The sequence below is a fragment of the Homo sapiens genome, chromosome 18 (assembly GCF_000001405.40).
Source record: "Homo sapiens chromosome 18, GRCh38.p14 Primary Assembly".
Classification (NCBI taxonomy): domain Eukaryota; kingdom Metazoa; phylum Chordata; class Mammalia; order Primates; family Hominidae; genus Homo; species Homo sapiens.
In genome coordinates this window covers 48,842,185-48,867,931 of record NC_000018.10, presented here as the reverse complement: position 1 = coordinate 48,867,931, position 25,747 = coordinate 48,842,185, and the positions used below count along the sequence as shown (strand labels likewise).

The 25,747-nt window shown below is 52.5% G+C and overlaps 1 protein-coding gene across 24 annotated transcripts in view, besides 3 other annotated features; it reads right to left on the bottom strand.

Annotated features, from left to right (window-relative positions):
* Positions 1 to 4,714: 4,714 nt before the first annotated feature.
* CTIF (cap binding complex dependent translation initiation factor) overlaps positions 4,715 to 25,747 on the bottom strand; it is a 324,187-nt gene continuing 303,154 nt past the window's right edge. For all 24 annotated transcript variants that reach the window (XM_047437960.1, XM_047437965.1, XM_017026100.2 and 21 more), the window contains 2 exons: positions 10,291 to 10,344; positions 4,715 to 8,588 (listed from right to left, as the gene is read on the bottom strand). In XM_047437960.1, the coding sequence (XP_047293916.1) occupies positions 8,373 to 8,588; positions 10,291 to 10,344 (270 nt within the window). In that variant the 3' untranslated portion in view covers positions 4,715 to 8,372. The remainder of the gene's footprint in view (positions 8,589 to 10,290; positions 10,345 to 25,747) is intronic.
* Positions 5,013 to 5,564: an enhancer, noted in NCBI's record as "H3K4me1 hESC enhancer chr18:46388739-46389290 (GRCh37/hg19 assembly coordinates)". NCBI's record gives its function as "activates a minimal SCP1, AML or CMV promoter by ChIP-STARR-seq in naive H9 embryonic stem cells {active_cell/tissue: H9 hESC(naive)}" and the evidence as "EXISTENCE:reporter gene assay evidence [ECO:0000049][PMID:30033119]".
* Positions 9,725 to 10,226: an enhancer, noted in NCBI's record as "H3K4me1 hESC enhancer chr18:46384077-46384578 (GRCh37/hg19 assembly coordinates)". NCBI's record gives its function as "activates a minimal SCP1, AML or CMV promoter by ChIP-STARR-seq in naive H9 embryonic stem cells {active_cell/tissue: H9 hESC(naive)}" and the evidence as "EXISTENCE:reporter gene assay evidence [ECO:0000049][PMID:30033119]".
* Positions 22,894 to 23,394: an enhancer, noted in NCBI's record as "H3K4me1 hESC enhancer chr18:46370909-46371409 (GRCh37/hg19 assembly coordinates)". NCBI's record gives its function as "activates a minimal SCP1, AML or CMV promoter by ChIP-STARR-seq in naive H9 embryonic stem cells {active_cell/tissue: H9 hESC(naive)}" and the evidence as "EXISTENCE:reporter gene assay evidence [ECO:0000049][PMID:30033119]".

Sequence of the window (25,747 nt, the reverse complement as noted above, 5' to 3'; positions counted from 1 at the left end):
AGAGCATCACCCTTGAACCATCTCTGCTTCAGGTCAGCTGTGGGATCCTGGCCATATTATTATTATTATTATTATTATTATTATTATTATTATTATTATTATTATTATTTGAGATTAAGTCTCGCTCTGTCACCCAGGGTGGAGTGCAATGGCACGGTCTTGGCTCACTGCAATCTCTGCCTCCTGGGTTTAAGCGATTCTCCTGTCTCAGCCTCTCGAGTAGCTGGGATTACAGGCTGCGCCACCATGCCCGGCTAATTTTTTTGTATTTTTGTAGAGATGGGGTTTCACCATGTTGGCCAGGCTGGTCTTGAACTACTGACCTCAAGTGATCCACCCACCTTGGCCTCCCAAAGTGTTGGGATTACAGGCGTGAGCCACCATGCCTGGCCTCCTGGCCATATTATTTATTATTTTTTTTTAGAGACAGGTCTTGCTCTGTCACCCAGCCTGGAGTGCAGTGGTGCGACCACAGCTCACTGCAGCCTTGATTTCCTGGGCTCGAGTGATCCTCCTGCCTCAGCCCCCTGAGTAGCTGGGACTACAGGTGTGTGCCATCACGACCAGCTAGTTAAAAATATATATATTTTTTTGTAGAGATGGGGTCTTGTCATGTTGCTCAGGCTGGTCTCAAACTCCTGGGCTCAAGTGATCCTCCTGCCTCAGCTTCACGACGTGCTGGGATTACAGGCTTGAGCCACTGTGCCTGGCCTGGCCATATTGTAAGACTTAATCTGTCACCTGGGACTGATTCCACCCATGGAATGGATGCCCCCATGGGTTGCAGGAGACTCAGGACTCTGCCTGGGAGCCAGGGGATGCCCAGTGAATGGGGAGGCTGAAGATGGAGACCAGTTAGAATTATGGGACACTGAGCAGGAAGCACAGACCTGCACTCCACAGGCCTGGATCAGGGGACTCAGGCACAAAGGTGGCCTGGGTCCTCAGCCTGGTCCCCATACCCACCCACCAGTCCCATCTTAGGACTAAGAAGGCAGCAATTCGAGGCCTGGTCTTTGTGCCTACAGGTCCCATGACATGGGATTGTTACTCTGCTTCTGTGAGCCTGTCTCCCTTCTTTACAATGGTGTCAAAAACATGTCACCTGGCAGCGCTGTCGTAAGGATCGAACATAGTCATATATTTAAAGACTATAAAGCCCCATTCAAACCTATGGGATGGCTCTGTAAGCCTCAGTTTCCCCAGATTTGAAATGGATATAAGCATTGTATTTACTTCTTTCACGGGGCTCTGGTGAGACCGTAACCAGATAATGTGTGCTAAAGGGCTGCAGAGGGGAGAAAGTGCTGTGTGATGAATCGGGCTCTCAGGGGCCAGCCTCCTTAGCGCGGCAAACACAGCTGCTCTGGCTGGCGCTTGGAGCTGTCTGGCTGGCAGCCAGTCCAGGGCAGAGGCAGCTACTGCATCTGCTTCCAGCACGGGCCAACTGCTTCCTTGGAAGACTGCTTTTGAACCACTCCCCCTCCCCAGCCCTGAGTCACCCAGAGATCAGGTGGGCAGCAGAGAAAGGTGGGACTCCCAGCTCAGATGACACTCAGGTAGGGCCAATACACCTGTTAGGCATATACAAAGGGTGCTGCTATGGATGGCATGTTTTTGTGTCCCCTAAATGCATATGTTGAAATCCTAATCCCCAATATGATGGTATTAGGAGGTGCCTTTGGGAGGTGAGGAGGTCAGAGGGATGGAGCCCTTATCAATGGGGTTAGTGCCCTTATAAGGGAGACCCCAGCAAAGTCTCTTACTCTCTTTCTGCCATGAAGATCCAATAAATTAGCCACTGGGAAGTAGGCCCTCACCAGACCATGACTATGCTGGCACCCTGATTTGGGACATCCAACTTCTAGTATTTTAAGAAATAAATGTCTGTTGTTCATAAGCCACCAAGTCTATGGTACTTTGTTACAGATGCCTGAATGGACTAAGACAGGAGCCCACAAAATGTTTTTTAGGGGCCCACAAAGTGTTTTAATTTTTTTAAAATCAGGGGTAAAAAAATGAACTTCTAGGTGGGAGAAAATGTTTTAATAAAAATAATATATTTGTCTCTATTACCAATGTAGTCATAATATTTCCATTTTTTTTTTAAATGGAAGAAGGGGCCTATGAAGGCAAAAGTACCTAAGGCCCATAGGAGTGAGAATGCAGCCCGAGTCCATGGTATGGATTCTGTTCCACATTCAAGCAACTTGCCAGAGCCCCTGCCCCATGTTGCAGATGTGCCAGCCAGTGTTGTTTCAGCCAAGATGGCAGACCCTGAGATTGCAAAAGAGCACAGCAGCATGGCCTGCTGTCCCCAGACAATAATTCTGCACTACTTATGACAGCTCTCCATGGCCATCATCGTACTGTGTTCCAGGAGTGATGGATGGCGGCTCTCAACCATCTTTTCTCTTGCACCCATCCAAGGCATAGCACACATGTACCAGTAAGAAGAGGGGCTCCCCAAGGCCCAAATTCTGAAAATATTGGTGTGTATGTGTGTGCTGTTTTAGTATGTAGTTTGAAAATGTTCCCAGGCAATTCGGGTATTGACCCTGATGCTTGATATGTCCCCCTATCAGGGTCCCCCTCACTGGCCTGGGGGAAACTGGGATCCAGCAACACACACTGCACATATGATAATGGGTCCTTTTATAGAACGGCACCAAATTCTGCACCATCGCTCCTTCTGCCCACTCCACTGAAATCTCCTGATCTGAGGTATTTCATCATGGTCCTAGTTTCCACCAATGAAGCGGGAAGCCCACGTGGCCTGCCCGCAGCCTGCCGAGTCCCGGGGGCAGCTGGCTGCTCCTTTTGTCTGGCTGGTGTGACTGGCTGGCTCCCTGGGGCGCTGCAGGGATGAGGAGTCTGAAGGACCCACTCACTTTCTGGGCTCACCCTCGCCTTGGCTCTTCTGGTGATCAGCCTTTGGCGCATCTATAAAATGGGAATCGAAAACACTCACCTGCCTACTTCACGGGACCAGCTGAGACCGTGTAAGGAAGCCGCTGCGGAACTGCAGGAATGAGGGAGATCAGTAAGGCAGGACCACTTCTTTCCCATTTCAACTGCTCAACCCTTTATTTTTCTGCTATCATCATCTTTGCCTTGGTCCTTAAAAGGCCCTTATAAGTTACGCTGTGAGCATCCCAGTACAAATGTAAACAAACACTCTAAAATGACAAGAGAATGCCTACAAGCAGAAAGATGGTGGTGAAATCAGGATTGAAACATGTATTATTTCGATGCTGTGTCTCGTAGTATTCAGTAACTTAGGGCCTTCTGGAAGCAGGACTAGCCCATCCAGGAAAATCTCCTTTCTCTTTTGCAGGGTGTGATAAGGCTCTCTGTTCCTCATCGTCGCCCTACCTTTGATCTTGACCTCCAATGTCTGCTTCTACTGCTTTGCATTTTTATAAAAATAAATTTGGGCCTGGCACGGTGGCTCACGCCTGTAATCCCAACACCCTGGGAGGCCGAGGTGGGTGGATCACTTGAGGTCAGGAGTTTGAGACTAGCCTGGCCAACATGGCGAAAACTTGTCTCTACTAAAAATACAAAAATTAGGACTGGAAGCGGTGGTTCATGCCTGTAATCCCAGCACTTTCGGAGGCCAAGGCAGGCAGATTGCCTGAGCTCAGGAGTTCAAGACCGGCCTGGGCAACATGGTGAAACCCCACCTCTACTAAAATACAAAAAAAATTAGCCAGGCGTGGTGGTGTGTGCCTGTAATCCCAGCTACTTGGGAGGCTGAGGCAGGAAAATTGCTTGAACCTGGGAAGCAGAGGTTGCAATGAGCTGAGATCGTGCCATTGCACTCCAGGCTGAGTGACAGAGCGAGAGTCCATCATCATCTCAAAAAAAAAAAAAAAAAAAAAAAAAAAAAAATTGGCCCGCCACATACCTCAGTTGTTTAATTAAAATGTTCTCTCTCTCTACCCAGTCTGTGGACTTCTGGCTGTCCCTGTCAGTGTCATGGTGGGTGTGTGACTCAGTGAAGGGCAAGGCCCGAATCTCAACATGCCTTCACCCGGCTCCTGGGAGGCCCTGGCCGCCATTGTAGCCAGGCCAGGGAAGGAGGAAGGGAGTTGGTGCTCTGGTGCGACCCCTGCAAGGAGCTGAAGGACCAGCAAGTTCTAGCCAGAAAGAATCCCCAAGGAAAGGGGAGCGTTACCAGGAAACAGTGTCCCCAGTGCCTTGCCATAGACAAGATTGTGCAAAACAAGAGACATGTCATCACAGGAAAAGAAATCACTGGGCCCTTTGGGGACTCGTTGATGAAAGACTCATTTGACCAACTGGGACTGGACAGCCACTCGCTGTTGACTTTTGAAAGCCACTGGGCCCAAATCTCAGCCCTCTTGAAATGACTCATTGCCAAATGCCACAGTGACATTTCCAGGGAAGGGGTAGGTTTGGGGGGGGTTGGTTAAACCAAACCTTTAGTGCAAAAGCCATTTTGTCCAGGACTGGCTTGATCCTGGACAGGTCCAGGTCACTTTGGATAGGTCATAGTTAGTTCCCAGTTTTGGGGGATGTAAGTAAGTCTCCTTCACCCATGGTCTCCTGGACCAACTTCTTGCAAGAATCTTCCCCTCAGCTCATCTCCTGGGCCAGCTCCTGGAGGCCCTGCTAGTATAGCTGAGGCACATGAGCTTGGGGAAAAGGTTTCTTTTGCTGAACACACAAAGAGCACAGACTCTGGGCATTTTGTTTTTGGTGGTGGTGTTTATTTTTTTAAACCCACTTGTAGTTTGGGTTCAGCTGGAAAGCAGGACATACCGACGGAGGGAGGGTGGTCGCACTAGCGGGGTTCCGCGGCAGCTTTGGCGGGAAGCCCCAGGCCCTTGCTCTGGGGAGGTAGGTCCTGTCGTCCACTCCCAGCCGGCTCAGGGAGGCGGCCAGCCCTTCCGTGTGAGTGTTCCGCGCAGAGGAAAGTTGTCTTTCTTTCTTCTGATCTGTGTCCTCAAAGGCCCAGCCAATGGTTTCCCAACACAGTGCCCTGCAGCTGAGGGACACGACTCCCCAGGCAGGCCTGAGAGTCTGTCTGTCTGACAAGGAACACGGGCCGGTGTCTGATGCCAGAAAACAGACTGGGACTTGGCTTCTTGGAGGCCCGCGTCTGGGGCACCCCATGGGGCTGCTCTGGTGGCGGCCTGGCTGTCTGGGCCCCCGCCCCTACAGCTGCCCCGGCCTGATCTGTGGTACCCTTCCCACACCCCCCACCCTCATCCCTCGGAGAAAATAATAGAATAAAATAAAAATCAATCAGAATAAATACCGACTCGGCCAACATTTACATTTACATGGATGGACAGGACGATCCCCAAACAGTGAAGGTTTACAGACTGGTCAAGGAAGGACGAACAGAGAGAATGGGGTCTGAGGGTGCACATCCCGTGGAGGGTGGCGGGGCTCCTGGCCTCGTCTGGGTGAGGTTGGGGGCCTCGCTGGGGCTGCGGTCCCAGAGCTTCGGCAAAGCCACCAGGCCTTGGGGAGCAGGGCTGTGGCAAGCAGGCCGCCTCGGAGAAAAACAATGACTAACTCATCCTGACAGGCAGTGGGGAGACTGAGACAGGATCAACATCAGATGGCTGGACCGCCTCTTCCATGCGCCAAGAACCGCGGGCGAGGGGAAAGCAATGCAAGCCTTAGAAATGCAATATCCAGCTCTGCCTCTCATCACATACATTCAGAGGTCAACTCGGACGCGGCCTTCCTCATGCCACAGAGAGGGGATGGACTTGGGGAGGGGGCCAGGGTCTGTGGGGCATCCACTTCTGTCCTGCAGTTCCTGTCTGAGCAGTCTCCCTCGGGAAGCTGCCTCGGGGTCTCAAATTTTAGGCTTGACTGTTGTTTCTTTAAAAAAAAAATAGTCTTAACGTTTTCCTTCCATATCTGAAAAAGGAGCAGCAACCTGCATTTAGAAAAACAGCTTAAAGTGTTGTTGTTCAGATTGGCTAGGAAGCGCTTTCAAGCAGTGGAATAAACTAGGCAAACAGTATGTCTGGAGCCACCGTGACACGACATGTAATTAAAAATATATTTATATATGTATACATATTTATATTTCACTTCTTCTTCACACTCTGGTCCTAACAGCCAATGGGGAGCTGCCCCTGTGGCCAGGCCATCAAGGAGCCCGTTCGGAGGAAGGAGAATCAGGCCCCAAGGTGCCCACAACACAGCCCCCTCCACACAGTGTTTCGGAGCGTCCTGCGTGAAGCTTGCTCTGAGCTCACCGTTGGGTCTGGGAGACCCCACTCCCCTGCCTCCTCCCTGACCTGAGCTCCCACTCCCAGGTCTCTCCTCTCTTCGGGGGCCTTGCCTCCTCCTAGCGGACAAACCCCACATGCTTCAGGGGGGCAGGGGCCACTGAAGCACAGGTGGAGGCTGCCTGGCCACGATGGCAAGCTCGCCCTGGGGCCTGCCCTGAGCAGCCCCGCATCAGCCCGGCTCCTCCCTCGAGGCCTCCTACCCGCGGGGCATCTGTGTTCCCAGGCTGGGCTGGGGAGGAAGGGCAGTGAGGAGGAGCTTGAGAAAGTCTGGGAAGAAACCGTGGAGGGAGGAAGAAGGCAGGGTTCAGGGCCAGGGACCAGAGGTGGCGTGCGCTTCTTGGGAGAGACCACTGACCTGTTTCAGGTAAACTTGTGCCCCCTACACCTTGTCGCCAACAGGCTCTTTTTAGAGACAGGCAAAGGCTCCACACCTGGGACCAGAGGGCAGGTTGCAGCTGCAGGGAAAGCTGGAGAGAACTGGGGAAGCCTCTCCCCACTCGCCACTCTCAGACTCAGAATCAATCAATCACGAGAACCTTCCCCGCCCATCACCTCCCGGCCAGTCCAGTGTGGACCAAGAGGGGCCTCCAAAGTGACCCAGGGCCTGCCCGGCCTCAATAAAAGAGCAAATAAGGAAGCGGCTAGGCTCTGACATCATTTCCGGGGGGGCTCATCAAAGTGTGTGCTCCAGCCCCCAGAGATGGAGCTATGTGGACACCTGTTCCACCCCACACCTTCCTCTCCAGCCAACAACAGGGCCTGCTCCCCAGGACCAGGGCCTGCCAAGAAACCCCGTCTTGTTTCCCGGCTGGGAAGCTTCATCTGGCGACCCCGCTGGTCACCTGACTGTCCCTTCCATGACCCAGTGAATTCACCCCTTTCCCAAGAGCTCACGGAGGGCTGGGCTTCTACGTCCGAGCTGGGGCAGTGACACAGCGCATTAGCTAAAATCGAGTCCTGGGGAGCCCCCACTCCCATCCTTTTCCCCAGTAAGACCTGCGTGTGGAGCGCAAGACACCATCTAGAATTTTGGTTTTAATTTGCCAGTCTCGTTCTGTGCCCTGTTTGCCACAAGGCCCCTGGGGCCAGGACCAGGTTTAACTTGGTCCCAGTGGTGACAGTATCAGCCCTTTGAGAAAACAGAGGCGCTGGAAGCCAGTGGCGAGGAACACAGGATTCCAGCGGGGACCCCCCGCCGGGGCAGAAGTTTCCAATTACCCTAATTGGCTACTGGCAAGCTGTCTGTGGCTCGAATCCTTCTTCTAGAGGGGAGCTGGGTTTGATCTCCCACTAATCCGGGGGTCCTCAACAGTGCTGACTGTGTGATCACATCACGGGCATTTTCATTGGCCAAAGAGACTTCAAAGCAACCGACTTTTGAAAAATAAAACACAATAAACAAAAGAGTGCAAGTGGAACTGCAAACTCCATCTCCCCCGCTGCGCCTGACCCCCTAGGCCTGAGGCTGTGGGGGCTGCAGTGAGGAGGACTTGGAGGTGGGAGGTGGAGCGTCAGCTCTGCCATGGCTGACAAAGGCCGTCAATTACGGGCGGCTGGTGGGGACCGTGCCTGCCTTTGTCCTCCCGGACATCTGCTACACGTCGCCTGCTGCCAGTTGGCGACTGCGGCTGACAGCATGCGGGAACAATGCGAGCCCGTCTCCGACCCACTTTTTCAGCCTTCCGAGGTCCTTTCTGACCCAAGCGGTGCCCCGGCGTGCGAGGCTGCCAAGGTCTCCGAGGAGTCACAGCGATGAGATCCCTCACACAAAGCTCCGTGGGGGATGGGTCTGATGGGGAGGGGAGAGGCGGGAGTGAGGAAGGGGAGGGCCAGGGCCACCAGGAAAAAGAAACATGCTTCCCTTATTGGTGTGAGCTTGCATGCTCGGGCTGGGGGGCTTGTGCGGGGGCACTCCTCTCAGGGATTTGCTCCCTTCCCCGTCTGGCTCCAGACTGGCCACCGACTCTGCCTGCCCTCCTCCCCATTTCTTTCTCCCGCCAGGGCCACCCCTGTCCTCCCGCCTGTCCATCTGGCCCTGTGCACCAGGGCCCCAGCTGCCCGTGGGCCGCCTGCCAGGCCCCCTGGCTGTCAGGCTGTCAGTTTCTGGATGGTTCTGTTGTAGTACTGCGTGATGGGGGGCGTCAGAGGGTTCCAGCTGTTAGCGTGGAGCTCGATGACCTCTAGGAGCAGCGACCGGGTCAGCATGGACTCCGAGGGGCACAGCATCTTGTCCCGTGCGCTGGCCAGGAGCTCTGTCATCATCTCAGGCAGCTGTTCCTCCAGCAGCCGGCCTGTACTCTGCAGCTGCAGACAGAGATGTGGGGTTAGGATGGCCTCGGGTCCCACAGTGGCCCACTGGCCACCCTGATTAGGTGGGCAGGGATAGGAAATAGCTGGGTTGTCTTAAGGACACACAGGCCCAGACCCCTGTGCCACAGCTGGAATGAGGACAGGGAGAGTGGAAGGTGGAGTAGCCAAGAGTGAGAGCTCACATTTACCAACCAATCTGCCAGCAGGATCCAGAGGGATCCGAATATTGCCTACTGCCCAGGGCTGAAAGAGCTGTCACCAGGAACATGCCTCTTGTCCCTTTTACCCAAGAGCCTCCCTCTTCCAGGAAGCCTTCCCTGACTACATCCGCACCCTCAAATGGCTCCATGATCTGTGCCCCTTGGTGATCAGGGGGCCCTGTGGTCATTTTCACTTGCTGGGGCGTCTCTCTGGCAATGAGCTTAGTCATTATTACATGTGTCCATTGGAACTTGAGAGCAGGGGTGATGCCTCCTGTTTCTCTCGCTCTCCTTTTCTCCTGATCCTGATCCCATCTCCCAGCCCCCAGAAGTGACCTCTGCTCATGCTTGTGACAGGAAGTGGGGGAGAGAAATACAAACTGGGGAAGAAGGCCAGCCAGAGGCCGTCAGGAGAGCCCTAGATAATCTTGAAAAGCCCACTGGGAAGGAGCCCCTATTCCTGGACCAGCACACCCCTGGCCAGTGCCCCCCAGGCCCTCTCTATAGAATCTCAGTCCCCGTCTCGGTCCCCAGCCTTGTCCCATTCATTTTTCTAGTCTCTGCCTTCTTCACAAAGCCTCCCTTGAACCCCTGAGCCCTTCCTGACCTCTCTCCCCTGACTCTTCAGGGATGTCTCTGTACTTACACTTATTCTATCTACTCTCTGAGAGCTATTCCTAACCAGACTGGAAGCTGCCTGAGGGCAAGGACCAGGCTTTCTCCTTCTCCCTAATTCCCCCCTAATCCCAAGCCCCCTGTAGGGTGCCCAGCTGGAGGCCAACAAACAAACTGAGTCCCACAGACCCAAGACTGCCATCTGGCTCCCAGTGCTTCTGGCCTCTGAGCTCCTCAGTGAGGCCTTTGCAGCCAGGCGGAAGCCACCTGAGTATGCTTATGACAGCTGCCAGGCCCAGGTCCTCGTCTGGAAGCCCCTCTCCTGCCTGCATCCCACTCTGAGTGACTCTGGACCATCTGCAGAGGGCAGAGATCTGCCCAGGGACTGGGCCAAAGCCAGGCGCTAAAGGGAGAGCCCAGAGGAAGAGTCTCCATTAGCAGGGGCCACAGCTTAGGGACAGGAGTGGCACCTCCCAAGAGGTGTGCTTTCGGGTGGGCTGTGCCAGCACTGCATTGCCAAGCATTAGCAAAGCAAAGGGAAATATTTGAGGGCAGAGGTAATCAGGAACTTCTTAAGTCATTTGTGTGGCATGCCTGAGCTGGGGCGCAGGGGGTCTTTGGGGGACAGGGAAGTAGGCAATGCCACTGGGAATCACTTCTCTCTCCCTTCAGTCAGGGGTGAGCTGCTCTCACCATCAGTGTTCACTCTGGCTTGGGGTGGATAATTCTGGATGCAGAAGTCCATGCCCACTCCTGAAGCCATCCACCTACCTTCCCCTGGACTTGTAAATGCCTCCAACAACCCTCGTGCCCCTAGAACTGTTAAGGCATGAGAGATGCACCGGCTTTGAGGTTGGGGATGTCGAAGCCCCAAAGCTTACCTCCATAGAGCAGCAAAGGACAGCATCTTCCTTCACATCCTGAGATTGCAAGAGCTGTGGAAGAGAGGGGCAGAGAGCACCACTGAAGGAGACATGCCGGCTACTGGGCCCTGTAGCTCCCTGCAGCCCCCGCCGACCTGCAGCCCCAGCCCTGATGCGGCCTGTAACAAACATCTCCAAGGTTCAGGCTAGAGTGAGAGCCCACAAAAGTCAGAGAGCAGAAAGTCAGTTGCGCCGGGTGGCCGTGATTTCTCCGACAGGGTTAGAGCAGCTGGAGGTCAGTGTGATGGTGCGATGTGGAGCCCCTGGGCCAGGTCTGAACACCGTGATTCAAGAGGCCACTGAAGAGAAAGCCTGCAGCAGTGAGTGCGCTGGGATCATCCAGTGTTAACAACTGGTCAGCAGAAGTCCTCAGGGAAATGAAATTAGCTTAGAGACGTATAATTGGTAACTCCTCTATGGGTGAGGAGGTTCAGCCATTGACTCAGGCACCCCTGGGCCCTGGCCACAGGAGGAAGTCCAGGAGTCAAAGCCCTCTTCTCCACTGGCCCAGTGCTGTAGACTTTCAAACCCACAAACCTGTGGACTTACTCAGGGGCTGGAACTGTTTCCTAACTAGGGCCATGGCTGGGCTGCTCAGCGCTCAGTCCTGCCGTGCTACAGTCCATGCTTCCCCCGACTTGCCTGGCTCATTCTCTCAATCTCTCTGTCTCTTTTAAATTGAGATACCATTCACATAACACAAAATCCACCATTTTAAAGTATATAATGCAGTGCTTTTTAGGATATCCCCAGAATTGTGCAACCATCACCACTATTTAAGTTCTGAACATTTTCATCACTCCCCATACAAACCCATACCCACTAGCAGCCATTCCCTGTTCCTCCTCACTCCAGCCTCTGGCAACTCCCCCCGATTCTATGTCTCTATGGAGTTGCCCGTGCTGGACATTTTATAGAAATAGAATCACACAATATGTGGCCTTTTGTGATTGACTTCTTTCACTTAATGTTTTCAGGGTTCATTCATGTTGTAGCATATACCAGTATCTCATTCCTTTCTGTGGCTGACTAATATTCCATTGTAAGGATATGTCACATTTTGTTTATCCATTCATCTGTTAATGGACTTTTGCGTTGTTTCCACCTTTTAGCTATTAGGAATAGTGCTGCTATGAACCTTCGTGTACCAGGCTTTTCCTGGATGCATGTTTTCAATTCTCCTGGATATTACATAGGATTAGAATTTCTGGGTCATGTGGTAACTCTATGTTCAGCTTTTTGAGTAGCTGCAAGACTGTTTTCCCACAATGGCTCCATCATTTTACACTCTCACTAGCAATGCATGAGGGTTCTGGTTTCTCTACAGCCTCACCAATGCTTGCTATGTCCCAGTTTTCTGATTCACTCTCTCTTGAAGCCCCAGCAGCACTGGTGTGCTGACACCGAGTGCCTGAAACCCTCTCTGGGCGTGGCTTCCGAGAAGCTCACCAAGCCCCACGGACCACTCCTACCACAGCCCTCTTTGCTGGCTAATGCTTTTTCTCTCAGTTCCTAAAACAGGCATTCCTCCAATATTTTCCTCCCCAAATAGTTATTGTCAAGCTTCTGCTCTTCTCAATGCCGTCCCCTCCTGCCATGTCGATCATCACGACTCTCAGGGACCCCACATCTAGCTCGTCTGCACGAACCTTCCCACACTCATTGGGCTTCACTTTCTGGATGACACTATGGCTTTATCATCTTTGCCTCAAAGCAGCTCCATGTCACCTCCAGCTCAAAACCTCAGTCATTTTGCTCTCCCCTTACCATCCATAACCAAGAAGGTACCAGGTTCTGGTAGTTTTCCTGGTAAAACGTCCTGGAGACATTTTAGTCCCACTTTTCCAGGTCCCTGGCCTTACTCAAAGGTGAGGTTTTGTTGCTTCCCTCATGGAGGACTGTCCCGCGTCCTGATGCGTCATCCTGGTCCCCACTTCCTTCCCCTGCAATTTATCTTGTACACAACTGGCCAGAGTGATCTTCCTAGCATGCCACAGCCCACGCTACTGTCCCGCTTAGGAGATGTTGGACGCAGAGACGGTTCTGTTGCTGGCAAACTCGAGAGCATCACCTAGTCACAGGGATCCAGGTCAGGCCACAGTTAACTCCTAACCCACAACTCAAGGGAGCCCAGTAACCAACATCTAACTCAATTCATGCAAAGGTGATTCACTGCTTTTATGGAGAAGCATTTTGGCACATTTCATGTACAGAAATCCTTGAACTATGTCTAGTAGGTACTCAAATATTGAGTGGAATGTGGAATGAATGAAAATATACTACATGCTGTATAAACCATAACAACAACCTTCCTACAACTTCCATAACCTCAAAGTCAGTAGAGATCAATCAGACTACAGACTGGGTCTCTCTGATCTCAACACAGTCCTGTTCCAGATGCCAGGTCTCCTTGATCACACTGTAGAGAGATGCCGAGGTGGCACTTCGAAAGCAGCACAGATCTACCAAAACAAAAGAGACAAAGTCACAAGTACCTGCCGAGCGCCTGCGCCAGGCCAGCACAGTTCACTGCAGAGAACAAGACAGACCAGGCCCTGCTCCAGGGCGGTGGAAATGCAGCTCCGGGGCGGTGGAAATGCAGAAAACAAACCAATAAACATCTCTATCAGATGGCGGTAAGCACTGTGATGCAAAGCAGCACTTGTGAGGTGATGAATATGTCAATGAGTGTGGTTGAATCACTCCACATTGTATACATCTTGATCACAGCTCACTGTAACCTCAAACTCTTAGGCTCGAGCAATCCTCTGTCCTCAGCCTCCTGCGTAGATGGGACCACAGGTGCAGGCCATCATGCCCTGCTAATTTTTTTTTATTTTTTGTAGAGACAGGGTCTCTCTATGTTGCCCAGGCTGATCTTGAACTCCTGGCCTCAAGTGATCCTCCTGCCTTGGCCTCCCAAAGCACTGAGATTATAGGTGTGAGCCACCATGCTTGGCCTGGTTTATGTCTTAAGGGGACCATTCTGCCTGCTGTAGGAGGGAAGGGTGGACATTGAGGGACCTGGCCAGGCATGGTGGCAGTGTGGCCTAGGGCAGCAGCAGGGGCAGAGAGCAAGACGGGTCAGGCCTGCACACGTTTGCCTCTAGAGTGGATGGGGAAGGTGAGAGCTTGGGGCCAGGGAGAAATCATTTCTACTTCAGGCCCCTCTTTGGTTAAAGCCATGGGTTTCCATGACTTCTTCCCATGCAGGTTAAAGGGCCGCACTCCATAGCTGGTGTTTAGACTCCAAATGACTTTGTATCTTTGGGGCTCTCCATCCTCTCTCCATCCTTTAAGGCTGGGTCACTTCCCAGCTGTTCCTCGGACCCTTCCTGACCACCCCAGTCCCTGCCCTCCCTGCTTCTCACTCCCAGGCACTCCTGCTTTCCCCCCCATGCACATTCCACACAAGTTAAGACATTTTCCAGGGTGAACTGTCGGCTTCTTGAAGTCAGGGACAGTGCCAAATTCATCTCTGCTGCCCTTTAACCCCAAGCAAAGCCCCTGGCAACAGTGGGGATTCATGAACTGTTGGTCAACATGATTTATGCATTTCTTTTTTGCATTTTTAAAAGGAAGGGTAGAAGGTGAGAAGAGGGTAAAAGATGGCATTCTGAGGGCACATCCTCATTTACTCACGGAGAGCTGGAGCCAAAGTTTTAATCTGGGCATGATATAGTCAAGAAGGAGAGGCAAAATCATGCCCAGCCAACCCTGGGGACTGGTCATGTTGCTGGCTCAAAATCTGCATTCTGCACATCCTTAATTCTTCCTGTCTCCTGTCACGTTGCATCCATCCACCCAGCCTAGGGGCCCCGCAGCAGGAGCTACAGCATTCACCACAGGAGCTGAGGACCCACGGCAGGCTTGGCTGCAGGCCAAACTAGGGTGCAGGCTCCAGGGCCGTAGGAGTGCTTGATTGGCCAGAGCCACTTTCAGGGACCAGACCTCATTCTCCTTGGTAACTTGGTCAGAACTGGCCTGAGAACTGGGTTTGCAGCAGATACACAGAAAAGAAATCGTTTTGGGATGAGTGAGCAGAGGTGGGCCTTAAACTGCTCAAATGATGAGCAGGTGGAGAGCAACGGTCAACCCAGGGGAGGGAACAGTATGGGCTGCACACGTGACAGGCACTGAGGACCCTCGGGGTCTCGCATCCCACCCACATATTTCCAACTCTGGGCCTCTGCATACTTGTCGCTGGAAATTCTTGGCCACCGCAGATCCACAGACCTCACTCCCTCATCCTATGCAGGGCTCTGCCCAAACATCCCCAGGGCAGACAGGCCTTCCCTGAGCAGCCACCATCCCCCACCTACCTCCCAGCTCACCCTTTTCTGCGGCCCCTGACATATTATATACTTGTTTGCCTATTGCCCGTCTCCCCGCTCTAGAAGGCAAGCTCCATGAGGGTAGGGCGATGTCGGTCCACTGCTCTCCCCAACATCTGGCACACACTGGAAAATATTTGCTCAGAAACATGCTTTGGGAGGCAGGGAGAAAACTCGCCCAGCTGAGAGTCTGTGACAGGAAAGGAAAATGCTCACCCAGAGAGACTGCTTGCAAGGCCCTCTGATGCACGTACCTTTGAAAAGATGAGAGTGAGGGGGATGTGGTTACCTACCCCTCCCCATACCCCTGTCACCAGAAGGGACATGGCACAGAATTATTATCGATGCGTCTGCAAACATAGAGTGCTTGTAGAAATACAAGCTGGTATCACTCTATAGATGGCAATTTGGTGATAATCATCAACAACAGAAGTGTCCAAAACCCTCTGACCCAGCAATATTACTTCTAGGAATTTATCCCACACATATAACCACACACATGCCATACAACACGTGTACACTAGTTGCTATACTATTTTTAGAGCAAAAGATTGAAAGTAACCTGGACCTCTCCCAACAAGGGGACTGGTTAAGTAGTTACAGTATGCCCATGTGGGCTACTCTGGGGCAGTGACCCCTCTCCCGCACTGGGGTCTGCGGATCCCCAAGGAGAGCCAAGGGAGGCTTCCACCAGTCAGTGCCTGGGGGACTTTCTTGGGCCACAGGCAACGGTCTCCCTCATCTAGAGGACCCAAGAGGCCGGGATAAAGATTAGTAAGCAGGTTCTAGAAAAAGTTGGAGGTGGGGGGTGTGACTCATCCTGCAGCAAGCCTACCTGAGTCATGGGGTCCAACATCCAACTGCGAGGGGCTGGTTCAGGGCCTGGGAGGGTCCTGTGACTGTCTGGGACTGGGATCGGAGGGAAAGGTGGGCCTAGCCACACTTACTCAGCAGGGAAAATGGGGATTAACATCAGGAGAATTCTGTGTGGTCTTGCTGGAACTTTTTTTTTTTTTTTTTTTTTTTTTTTTTAAGACAGGGTCTCACTCTGTCCCCCAGGGCAGAGTGCAGTGATACAATCATAGCTCACTATAGCCTCAACCTGCTGGGCTTAAGCAATCTTCCAGCCTCAGCCTCCCAAGTAACTGGGAGCAGGGGTGCACCACCATGTCTGGCTAATTTTTAAAAAATTTTTTACTAGAGACGAGATCTCACTATGTTGCCCAGGCTGGTTTTGAACTCCTGAGCTCAAGTGATCCTCCCACCTTGGCCTTCCAAAGTGCTAGGTAAATTATAGGCATGAACCACCCCACCTAGGCTGGAACTTCTTTCTTATAGTAAATTTCCCTCATATGCTTCCCTAGGGTGCTTAGCAGGAAAAAAAAATCCTTAAAATAAAAATTGCTGGTAGAAATCACAGGAAAGGGGGAAGGTAAGTATCTGGTGGGAATGAAACTCCAGACAGAGTGGGTGGTGGCCCTGGGTGGGGAAGAGGCAGAACCCGGGAGCTGATGCGAAGGAAGGGAGGGCAGCTGGGGAAGCAGCCGCAGGCGGATGTCGCTGGCTGACACAGTGGGGCTGCTCAGTCAATGCTTCTCCCGGGGAGGGAAGTGCGCCTGGGGCCCTGGTGTGTCCTGAGACTAGCTTCTCAGGGGGCTCTGGTCCCTTGCCTGTGCCTGCCAGGTTCTGAGGTTTAGGGACAAGTGAAGTAATAATATGAGAAATTTCGAGAAGAGCCAGGGCCTGCCAGGCACTAGAGGCTCTCAATGTGGCTGCATCTCCCTCCGAGGAGAGAGGGAGACGCTGACAGGGCTGCGTGGAAGCCTCCCGGAGTCCCAGGGGTGTTGACAGTGAGCGCTTTGCCCTGACAATCAAGGGTCTCCTCCTCGTCTCTTCTGCAGCCCACAGCCTGCGTGCCTTCCACTTTCTGTGATGGGGCTGCTTGGGCCTGCAGAGCGGTTCCACAGTCTCCCTGCTCTTTTTCTTCCCTTCTCGTATCTTTGTGACTTCCCCTTCCCATGCCTTCTTCCCTGGGCACGCCCAAACTCCCCGCAGGCAGGCTCCTGGGGCCACTGCCCCTGCTCCCCCTACTCCCCCAACTCCTGTCAGGGCAGAGGACAGACTGCCCAGGGCCCTAAGGCAGAGCTGGGGGCGGGTTCTCAACCCTAGAGCCCCCCCTTCCAACCTTATCTTTCTCTGGGTTGTTTGGGAAAGTCTGCATGAAGCCAAAAACCACATTGTGCGAGAGGCCCTCTTGCAAACGGCCTGCTGGGTTTTCTCAAGGAAGTCAGGGAAGGAGTTTCTCATCTTACTTGTCCCTCCCAGTTGCTGGAACGCAGAGAGCACAGGAAGGGCCTTGGTGGCTGCAGACCATGTCCTGTCCTCCCCACACACACCTGCTTGGTTGCTGGCTTTTGAGAGTGGATTCTCAGACCCTTCGGGGTGAAGGGATGGTGGAGGATGCTCCCTCAGCCTCCCTTGGATGGGGCACACAGCTGAAGGCCCCACCTGCTGCTCTGTGTCAGAACAAGGGTCTGGCCTGCCTCTTCCAGGGGGCCCTTGGCACAACTCCACAGGCTTCCTCCCTGGGGCCCCGTCAGTGCCATTGCCCTCCCGGGCTCTCCATGCTTCAGGGTGACCAATGGCTGCCCAGAAATCCCTACTGAACTTGCCTTTAGTGGGTATCATCCCAAGGGAAGAACCTTTCCAGTCTTGTCTATCTTGGCCTAAATGACCTGTCCTATGTCCCATTTCTTCAGGGCTCTGATTTCCTAAGAGACAGCTCATTTTGGGGATAAACGAATCCCTGCCAGTACGGAGAGGGCCGACTAGCTCTCTCATTTATGTATGTTCTATTTGGGATCGCCAGGAGACAACAGCTTCACTTAGCTCAAACACAGATCTCAAAAATTAGCGGCATCTTGAACAGTGACTTGGACACTCATGTTCCCAGCAGCATTACTGACAATAGCAAGAGGCGGAACAACCCAAGTGTTCACTGAAAGATGAATAAATAAACAAGTGGTAAATCCATACAAGGGGAATATCACCCAGTCTTAAAAAGGAAGGCCATTGAGACACATGCCACAACACGGACGAGCCCCGAAGACATTATGCTAAGTGAAATAAGTCAGGCACAGAAGAACAAACACTGTATGATTCCACTTCTATGAGGTCCCTAGAGTAGTCAAATTCATACAGACAGGGAGCAGAATGGTGGGTGCCAGGAACTGGGAAGAGGGAGGATGGGGAGTGTTTCATGGGGACAGAGTTTCAGCTGGGGAAGGTGAAACAGTTCTGGAGATGGACGGTGGGGATGGTTGCCCAACAGTGTGAATACGCTTAATGCCAAAGAAGTGCACCCTTAAAAATGGTTAAAATGGGCCGGGCACGGTGGCTCACGCCTGTAATCCCAGCACTTTGGGAGGTCGAGACGGGTGGATCACGATGTCAAGAGATCAAGATCAACCTGGCCAACATGGTGAAACCCCGTCTCTATTAAAAATACAAAAATTAGCTGGGTGTGGTGGTGCGGGCCTGTAGTCCCAGCTACTCGGGAGGCTGAGGCAGGAGAATTGCTTGAACCCAGGAGGCAGAGGTTGCAGTGAGCTGAGATCGTGCCACTGCATTCCAGCCTGGCGATAGAGTGAAACTCTGTCTCAAAAAAAAAAAAAAAAAAAAAAGTTTAAAATGGTAAGCTTTACATAATGTTATATGTATATGTATGTATTTATTAACCAATAAAAAATGGTTTTTAAAAAAATGGCAGGCTGAGCGGGGTGGCTCATGCCTGTAATCCTAGCACTTTGGGAGGCCAAGGTGGGTGGATCACTTGAGTCCAGGAGTTTAAGACCAGCCTGGACAACATGGCAAAACCCCATCTCTACTAAAAATACAAAAATTTGCCAGGCATGGTGGCAGACGCCTGTAATTCTAGCTACTTGGGATGCTGAGGCAGGAGAATCGCTTGAACCCAGGTCGCAGAGGTTGCAGTGAGCCGAGATCTCACGACTGCACTCCTGCCTGACCGACAGAGTAAGACTCTGTCTCAAAAAAAAAAAAAAAAAAAAAAAAGGCATTGGTAGGAGCAGGCACCCTCTGTGTGGGCAGGACTGTCCCTCTCCTCTGCTGTCACCTCTGGAAGACGAGCTGCATCCATGAAGGAGACCAGCCTGCTCTACCTGGGGGTCAGAGGCCCTGGGGTCGGGGGAGGAGCAGCCCACTCATCAGAGTCTCTGGCACTGACGGGGATGTGGGCGGGCTGGGGCAGGCAAGCCTCCCGTGCCCTCGAACGGCAAAATGTGTTTCTTGGACAAGAATCCAAGGCAATTGTGCGAGCCCACACAGTGTTTGTTCGGAAGCGAATGCATTCCTGTCCTATTGTCTCTGGCGGAGACTTGTTGTGGGCACGCCCATCATATCCTCCCTCAGGGAGAAACCAAGGTGCTCCAGTCAGGCTGTGGCTGTGGGAGGCCCCACAGCAGCCAGGGAGAAAGGCAGCCTGGTGGGAGTCTCCTGGAGTCCCTGGGGGAAGGGCCACGGGCACAGGCAGGCTGCCCAAGGCATGCCCAGGATGTAACCAGGCTGGTAGCTTGGGATGCCACCCTGCAGGGAGGGAAAGGGGGTGCTGAGAACTCATGGGGCAGCCTCGCTGTGCAGGGAGGGATGAGCACTGGCAATCCCAACATCTTGCCTTGCTAGTGAGGGGTGCAGTGTCCATCCAAGCCGGGCTGGCCAGCCCACCTTGACCACCTCAGCTCACCCACAGCACAGCCTTCTACTGTGGGAGAGCAAACCCAAGCCACCTAATGCAGCTGCAGAAAAAGCTCAGCCCAGCCCCTGCCTGGAGGAGCCTCCTTCCTTTGGTAGCGACTGGAGGTGGCCACAGGGGCAGCCATGAGGGAGCCAAAGTGGGAGGTTTGCAGAGGGCTGTGATTGGCGGGAGAACAAAGCCAGCCTGGGAGCTGAGGTTGGCTGGCTGGGCCGGTGGATGAGCCAGGGCTGTGGGGGGACAAGCTGAAGGTGTGGAAAGAATTGTAGGGCAGGAGAGAGGGAAACAAAGAAGAAAAGATAGTGACGGGTAAAGGCCGTGGTGGCGGAGGAAGCCACAGAAATGGGCACACATGCTGACAGTGGAGACAAAGGGGACAGGGGGAAGAATGAGGCAGAGTCAGAAGAACCACACCTGCAGGGCTCTAGGATGGTTGCCACCTACACGTCAGGAGTACCCTCCGGGACAGCTGGCCCATCCACCCTGTGCCTCTGCGGGACCTGGACCTGTACCTACAGCCAAACCTGGAGGACAGCCCAGGGACTGTGCCTATGGTAATGACGAGTCATCAAGAAAAGGGCCAATTATGTCTAGGTCTCCGTTCAGGGAGGCAGGGAAGTAGATAATCTATCCAAGAAAGGCTATCATCAAAAATGGGCATCAGGCTTGGAGTCAGAAGACCTGCTACACACTAAGACCAGCCCCTGGCATGCCACTTAATCACTCTGCATCTCAGCTTCCTCACCTGAGAACAGGGATAGTATCTGCCTAGGATTGTTTGGAGAGTCAATTGAAATAACGTATGTGAAAGAGCTTTGATAAGTGCAAAGCTTGATTCAAACGTAAGGTGTTATTATTGTTATGATGTTTCTATCTTTATAAACATGTATCTTCCCTGAAGATCTCAACATGCTTTGTATGCACCATTCCTTTTACCCTCATGACACTCCTGTGGAGACAGGGAAAGGCCACAGGTATTATCATATCTGCTTAATTGGTAGAGAAACTGAGGCTCAGTAGTTAAGTGGCTTGCACAACCCAGACAGACAGCAGGTCTAAGTGGAAATGGAAGGTGCTGGAGAGTCCTGGATCTGTGCTCTCTCCTTTACGGAATGATATTAATTTCCCACATTAGCTAATTCTTATTTTGCTGGTTGGAGCTCATAATTTTTTTTTTTTTTTTTTTTTGAGACGGAGTCTTGCTCTGTCACCAGGCTGGAATGCAGTAGCGTGATCTCGGCTCACTGCAACCTCTGCTTCCCGGGTTCAAGCGATTCTCCTGCCTCAGCCTCCTGAGGAGCTGGGACTACAGGCACGCACCACCACGACCAGCTAATTTTTGTATTTTTAGTAGAGATGGGGTTTCACCATGTTGGCCGGGATGGTCTCCATCTCTTGACCTCGTGATTTGCCTGCCTCAGCCTCCCAAAGTGCTGGTATTACAGGTGTGAGCCACCATGTCCGGCTGGAGCTCATAATTTTTAATTGTGTTGACTGGTGACAGGTCAACCTGAGCCTTCACAAAATTGAACTGATTTTACCTATTCTTTGTCTGTATTGGCCACTACCTATCCCTCCATCCACTCATCCACCCTTTTATCCATCTGTCTACTTGCCTACTCATCCATCCATCCATCCATCCACCCATCCATTCTTTCATTCATCTATCTATCCATCCATCCATCCTTTCATCCATGTATCTATCCATCCATCCATCCATTCATCCTTTCATCCATCTACTCACCTACTCATCCATCCATCCATCCATCCATCCGCCCATCTATCCATCCTTTCATCCATCTATCTACTCACCTATTCATCCATCCATCCATCCACCCACCCATCCATTCTTTCATCCATCTATCTACTCACCTACTCATCCATCCATCCATCCATTCATCCACCCACCCACCCACCTACCCATCCATCCTTTCATTCATCTGTCTATTCACCTATCCATCCATCCATCCATCCATCCATCCATCCATCCATCCATCTATCCTTTCATCCATCTATCTACCCATCTACTCATCTATCCATCCATCCATCCACTCGGCAACATTTATGAAATATCTATGGTGTGTTAAATGCTACGTAAGTACAGGGATAACAAGAGGAACAATAAGACTTATAATTTATAGTCTAGTAGGGGGAAAGCAAGAGACTTGCTAGGTATATGGCATTGCAGCATAAGAAGGAATAGCGGTGGTGGAGAACTCCAGGCATATGGCATGAGAAAGATGTAAAAAAGCAAAAAATGTGCACTAGCAGAGTACAATGATGAATAAGTATTTCAAGATGCCTAAAATATATGGTGCTGGGGGTGGAATGTGCTTATAAAGAAGGCAAAGGCCACATATTTAAGGGCTCTAGATGCCATGGTACTGAGTTTGGATTTTATCCCAAGGGACTGGAGAGCCACTGAAAGATTTTAAACTGGAGAGTAGCATAGTAATACCTGTAGTTTAGAAAGATCCTATCTTGCATAGCATGGAGATGTAGGTAGGGTGGTGTTTGGACTGGAGGCAGGGGGACCGTTAGAAGGTTGCTGTGCAAAATTGGGGTGGCTTGAATTAAGGCTGGCAGGAAGGGAGGAGGATATTTAAGAGGCAGAATATGTTAAGAGGCAGAAGTGAGAGTGAGGAAAAGGATGAGGTAGAAGATGGCCAGCCCCCAGGTTTGGGGTTTGGTCAACTGCGTAAGTGATGATGCCATCAACAATATTGGGAAGGCAGGTGGAGGTGGTTTTAGGGAAAGTGAATGAGTTCAGTGTTAGAAATACTGAGTCCAGGGTCCTTGGGGATGACCAGGGAAGATGACTAATGGGAGAATGGTAATCTGGGATCATCAGCACCCAGGGATTAGTCAAGCCGTTGGTGTGAGTGAGGTGACCTGGAGAACACATGGAATGAGAAGAGAAGACGGCAGGGGCTCCCAACCTGAACACAGCAATGCCTAAAGGGTGAGAGAGGAGGAAGAGGAATCCCCAAAGAAGGAAGAAAAGGGTGGTCAGAGAGTTAAGCAGAACAGGAGGAAATGGCGTCATGAGGGCCAAGAGTTCCAAGAAGTACAAGGTCACCAGTGTCAAAGCTCAGAGAGGTCAAGTAAAACGAACAATGACCAAGGTCCCCTGGATTTGGTGATTAGAAGAGCATGGGTGACCTTTGCCATGATGACTTCAGTGCTGCTACTGGGGCAGTGGAAGCCTGGGCTGGGCCCCGCAGGGTTGGAGAGTGTGAAGGAGGTCCAGAAGTGCAGACAGAAAGAGCACACCATTTCTTTCTTTTTCTTTGGAATGAATTTCTGTACTTTCTTCTCTCTCTCTCTCCCCCACCCCCAACCCCAACCCCCTTCTTCTCTTCCTTCCTTTCCCTCTTTTCTTTGTTTTTGGAACTTGCCTATGGAAGAAGAAAAGGGGAGGATGCTAGGGGAAAGACACTGGCACAGGGTCACCTAGAATGGTCTGGGAATCTGGTGTGGTTAAAGTAGGAGAGTCTTGAGCCAGTTTAAAGGTAGAGGTGAGGTGCCAGAGTGCAGGAGAAGAGGATAATCAGAAAGGAGGAAAGGATCAAGTACATAGATCTGCCTTAAAGAAGAGTAGTGTCGCCCTCTGAAGTGGGAGGAAGGGCTGGTGTGGCCATGGATATAGGTGCTTGTGTAGATGCTAATGTTGCCTAGCCTGGCACCAAAGCTACAAAATTAGTGCTGTTTTATGTTAATCGCTCTTGCCTGCCCACAGTGCAGACACCTTCAGCAGAGGGGAATGGGCCCCCATGCCACTTTTCCACCAGTCTAACATGGAGCCTTGGTATGGTGGTTATGGTCAGATGTCAGGAAATTTGTGGTTCTGACCTGGCCTTCAGTCCAAGCTTGTGCCCTGTGGTCTGGCTGCCAGCCCTCCTAACTAAGGCGGGCGGGCACCCTAGCTGCGGACCAGGCGCCCCAGAGGGAATAATTAGCCTCCTTCCTGCCGGGCTTGCAAACCACCCCGTACAAAGTAGCGACAGTGGATGTCACATGGGGGATGCTTCATCCCACAGCTGGCCCGGGGGCTGGAAATATAATTTGGGGCTCAGGGTAGACACCAAATTCTTCTGGAGACATTGGATCCAGAAGGCAGGGCTACAACTCCAGCGGCTTCTCCTGTGGACCAAGCTCCAGCTAGTGGCCTAGACAGGGGCTAGTTCTGTTCACAGTGCCTGCAGCCAGGAATCCCCAGGACCCTGGGGTGGGTTTGAGACTCCAGGGAAGCAGCTGTGCCTGCAGCCAGTGCCTCCCAGCTTCCCCTTTAGGCCCTCCCCATCCCTTCTGGAAGCTTCTTCTGTGCTCACTGCCCCCAGTCCAAGATCCCTCCTGAGGAGTGAACAGGAAATGCCTAAGGCAGCTCTGAGGTTCCCCTTTTGAGAGGGGGCCTCTGAGGGTGAACAGCACCTTCGGAATCCTCATGCTCACCTGGCTTACATATTTTGAGTGGTTGTTCTATGTGCTCTGTGTGTTTTTAAAGATCCATTTGATCTTTCTACCAGATGATCTGAGTTAGGCACCACTGCAACGCTCTTCATGTCACAGCTACAGAAACTGAGGCACAGGGAAGGAAATGATTTCTCCAAGAGCACACAAGTAGGTAGAAAAATAGCTTCACTCCTGCTCCCCAGTGAGTGCCCACATAAATAGGCTGATGGGGAGAGGCCGGCCAAAGGTGGGGTGATGGCACATCTCGTTTGCCTGGAATAGTTCCAGTTTTCACCTGTCATCTCAAAGTCATTAGTAAAAGCATCCTTTCCACTCTCCAAACTGCCCTGATGTGGATCATATACGGTCACCTAGATAAGGGAGGGGTGCTGGGAGGTTGGGAGTTTTTCCCAGGCCTCCCAGATCCCCTGGGTAGTCCACAGCCCTCTGGCCTATTCCATTTCCCTTCCCCGTGCCTCAGGGCCCCCATTATAAATGGGGCCTCAGGGCCATCTAGGGGCTGGGTAGCTGGGGTGGGGAGGAGGGCTCGAGAGGCTACCGAGTGTCCCATGGCCTAGAGATGGGTGGTTATCATCACAGGAGATCAGAACTCCTGGCTCGCAGGCGGCACCTGAGCCTGCAAGCCCTCCCCACTCCGCAGGGAACAGGATGGAGTTATGGTCACTGGGAACACTGGGCACAGCTCCCTGCTGGAGCGCAGGGCCCTGGGGAGGGCAGATGGAGGAGAGAAGGGTAGAAGAGCAGTTACGCCCAGCCCCGCACTGGGCAGCCCAGTCAGCAGTGCCTGGCCTAGGGGGAAATCTCTGACCCTCCCCACTGAGGCCACCCTCTCCAGGAAGGACTGCACTGTATGTCTGACTCTGCACAACAGAGCTCCTTGAGACAGGGGATAGTTTGGGCAGCCAGGGGCCAGTCCTGGGGCTTGGGGTGGGTGGGAGGCTCCCCTCAAAGGCTCACAGGTCTCTGAAATCACAGGTCCCTCCACAGCCCCGACATCCACCAGGCTGGGACCCCGGGCAAGCAGAAGGGTAGGGCAGGGGGCTCAGGCTGCCATCTGCTTCTGGCTGAGCCTCCTCCCTGCCCCCAGCTCCAGCCCCTTCCCCCAGTCCCTGCCCCTGCTTCTGGCCCCTACCTCCACCCACCTGAGGCCTGGACTTGACCTTGCTGGCTGTGGGGGCAGGGTGTGATAAGTGTCTCCGTGGAGGGAGCTAGCTGCCTGCAAAGGCATTTTCCGCTCTCTAAAGTAAACAATCAAACAGGAAATTAATCGAGAAACCCACATCAACGGAAGGTTCAGGTTGTGATTTTCACAGCCCCAGAGCCAGGAAATTCAAAGTTATAGTTCCCATAGTAACTTGCCTGTAGAATCAGCGACTGCTGGGCTGGAACAAGGCCCTGTGGGGTCACCTAGGCCAGCCCTGGCCTCTGGAAAGCATTGCCCAGCAGTAAGTCTGAGAGTCTTGGGGGTAGGCTGCTCTTCTGAGGCGGAACATTAATCCTGGGAACACTGTGAGGCCAGGGCTCTCCCTTCCGCGCTAACAGGAATGGGCGCTCGGCTGACCTCTCAAGGATTCCGTTGACCCATCTTCTATAATATATTCCCGTATTCCCTCTAGCACTCCCACCCACAGGCCTGCGTTCTATGAAACGGGAATAATACTCACCAGGCCTCCTGCCTCACAGGCTTCAAGGCAGCCAAGAGCGGGGCTGAGCGAGGCCTGGTTTTTCACACTCAGGCCCCACCACCCTCGTTCTACTCAGTCCCATGAGGCCTGACCTCCCCATCCCCGCAGCCCCTGAATCTTGTAATTGGCATTGGCCCATCCCCTGGTTGTTT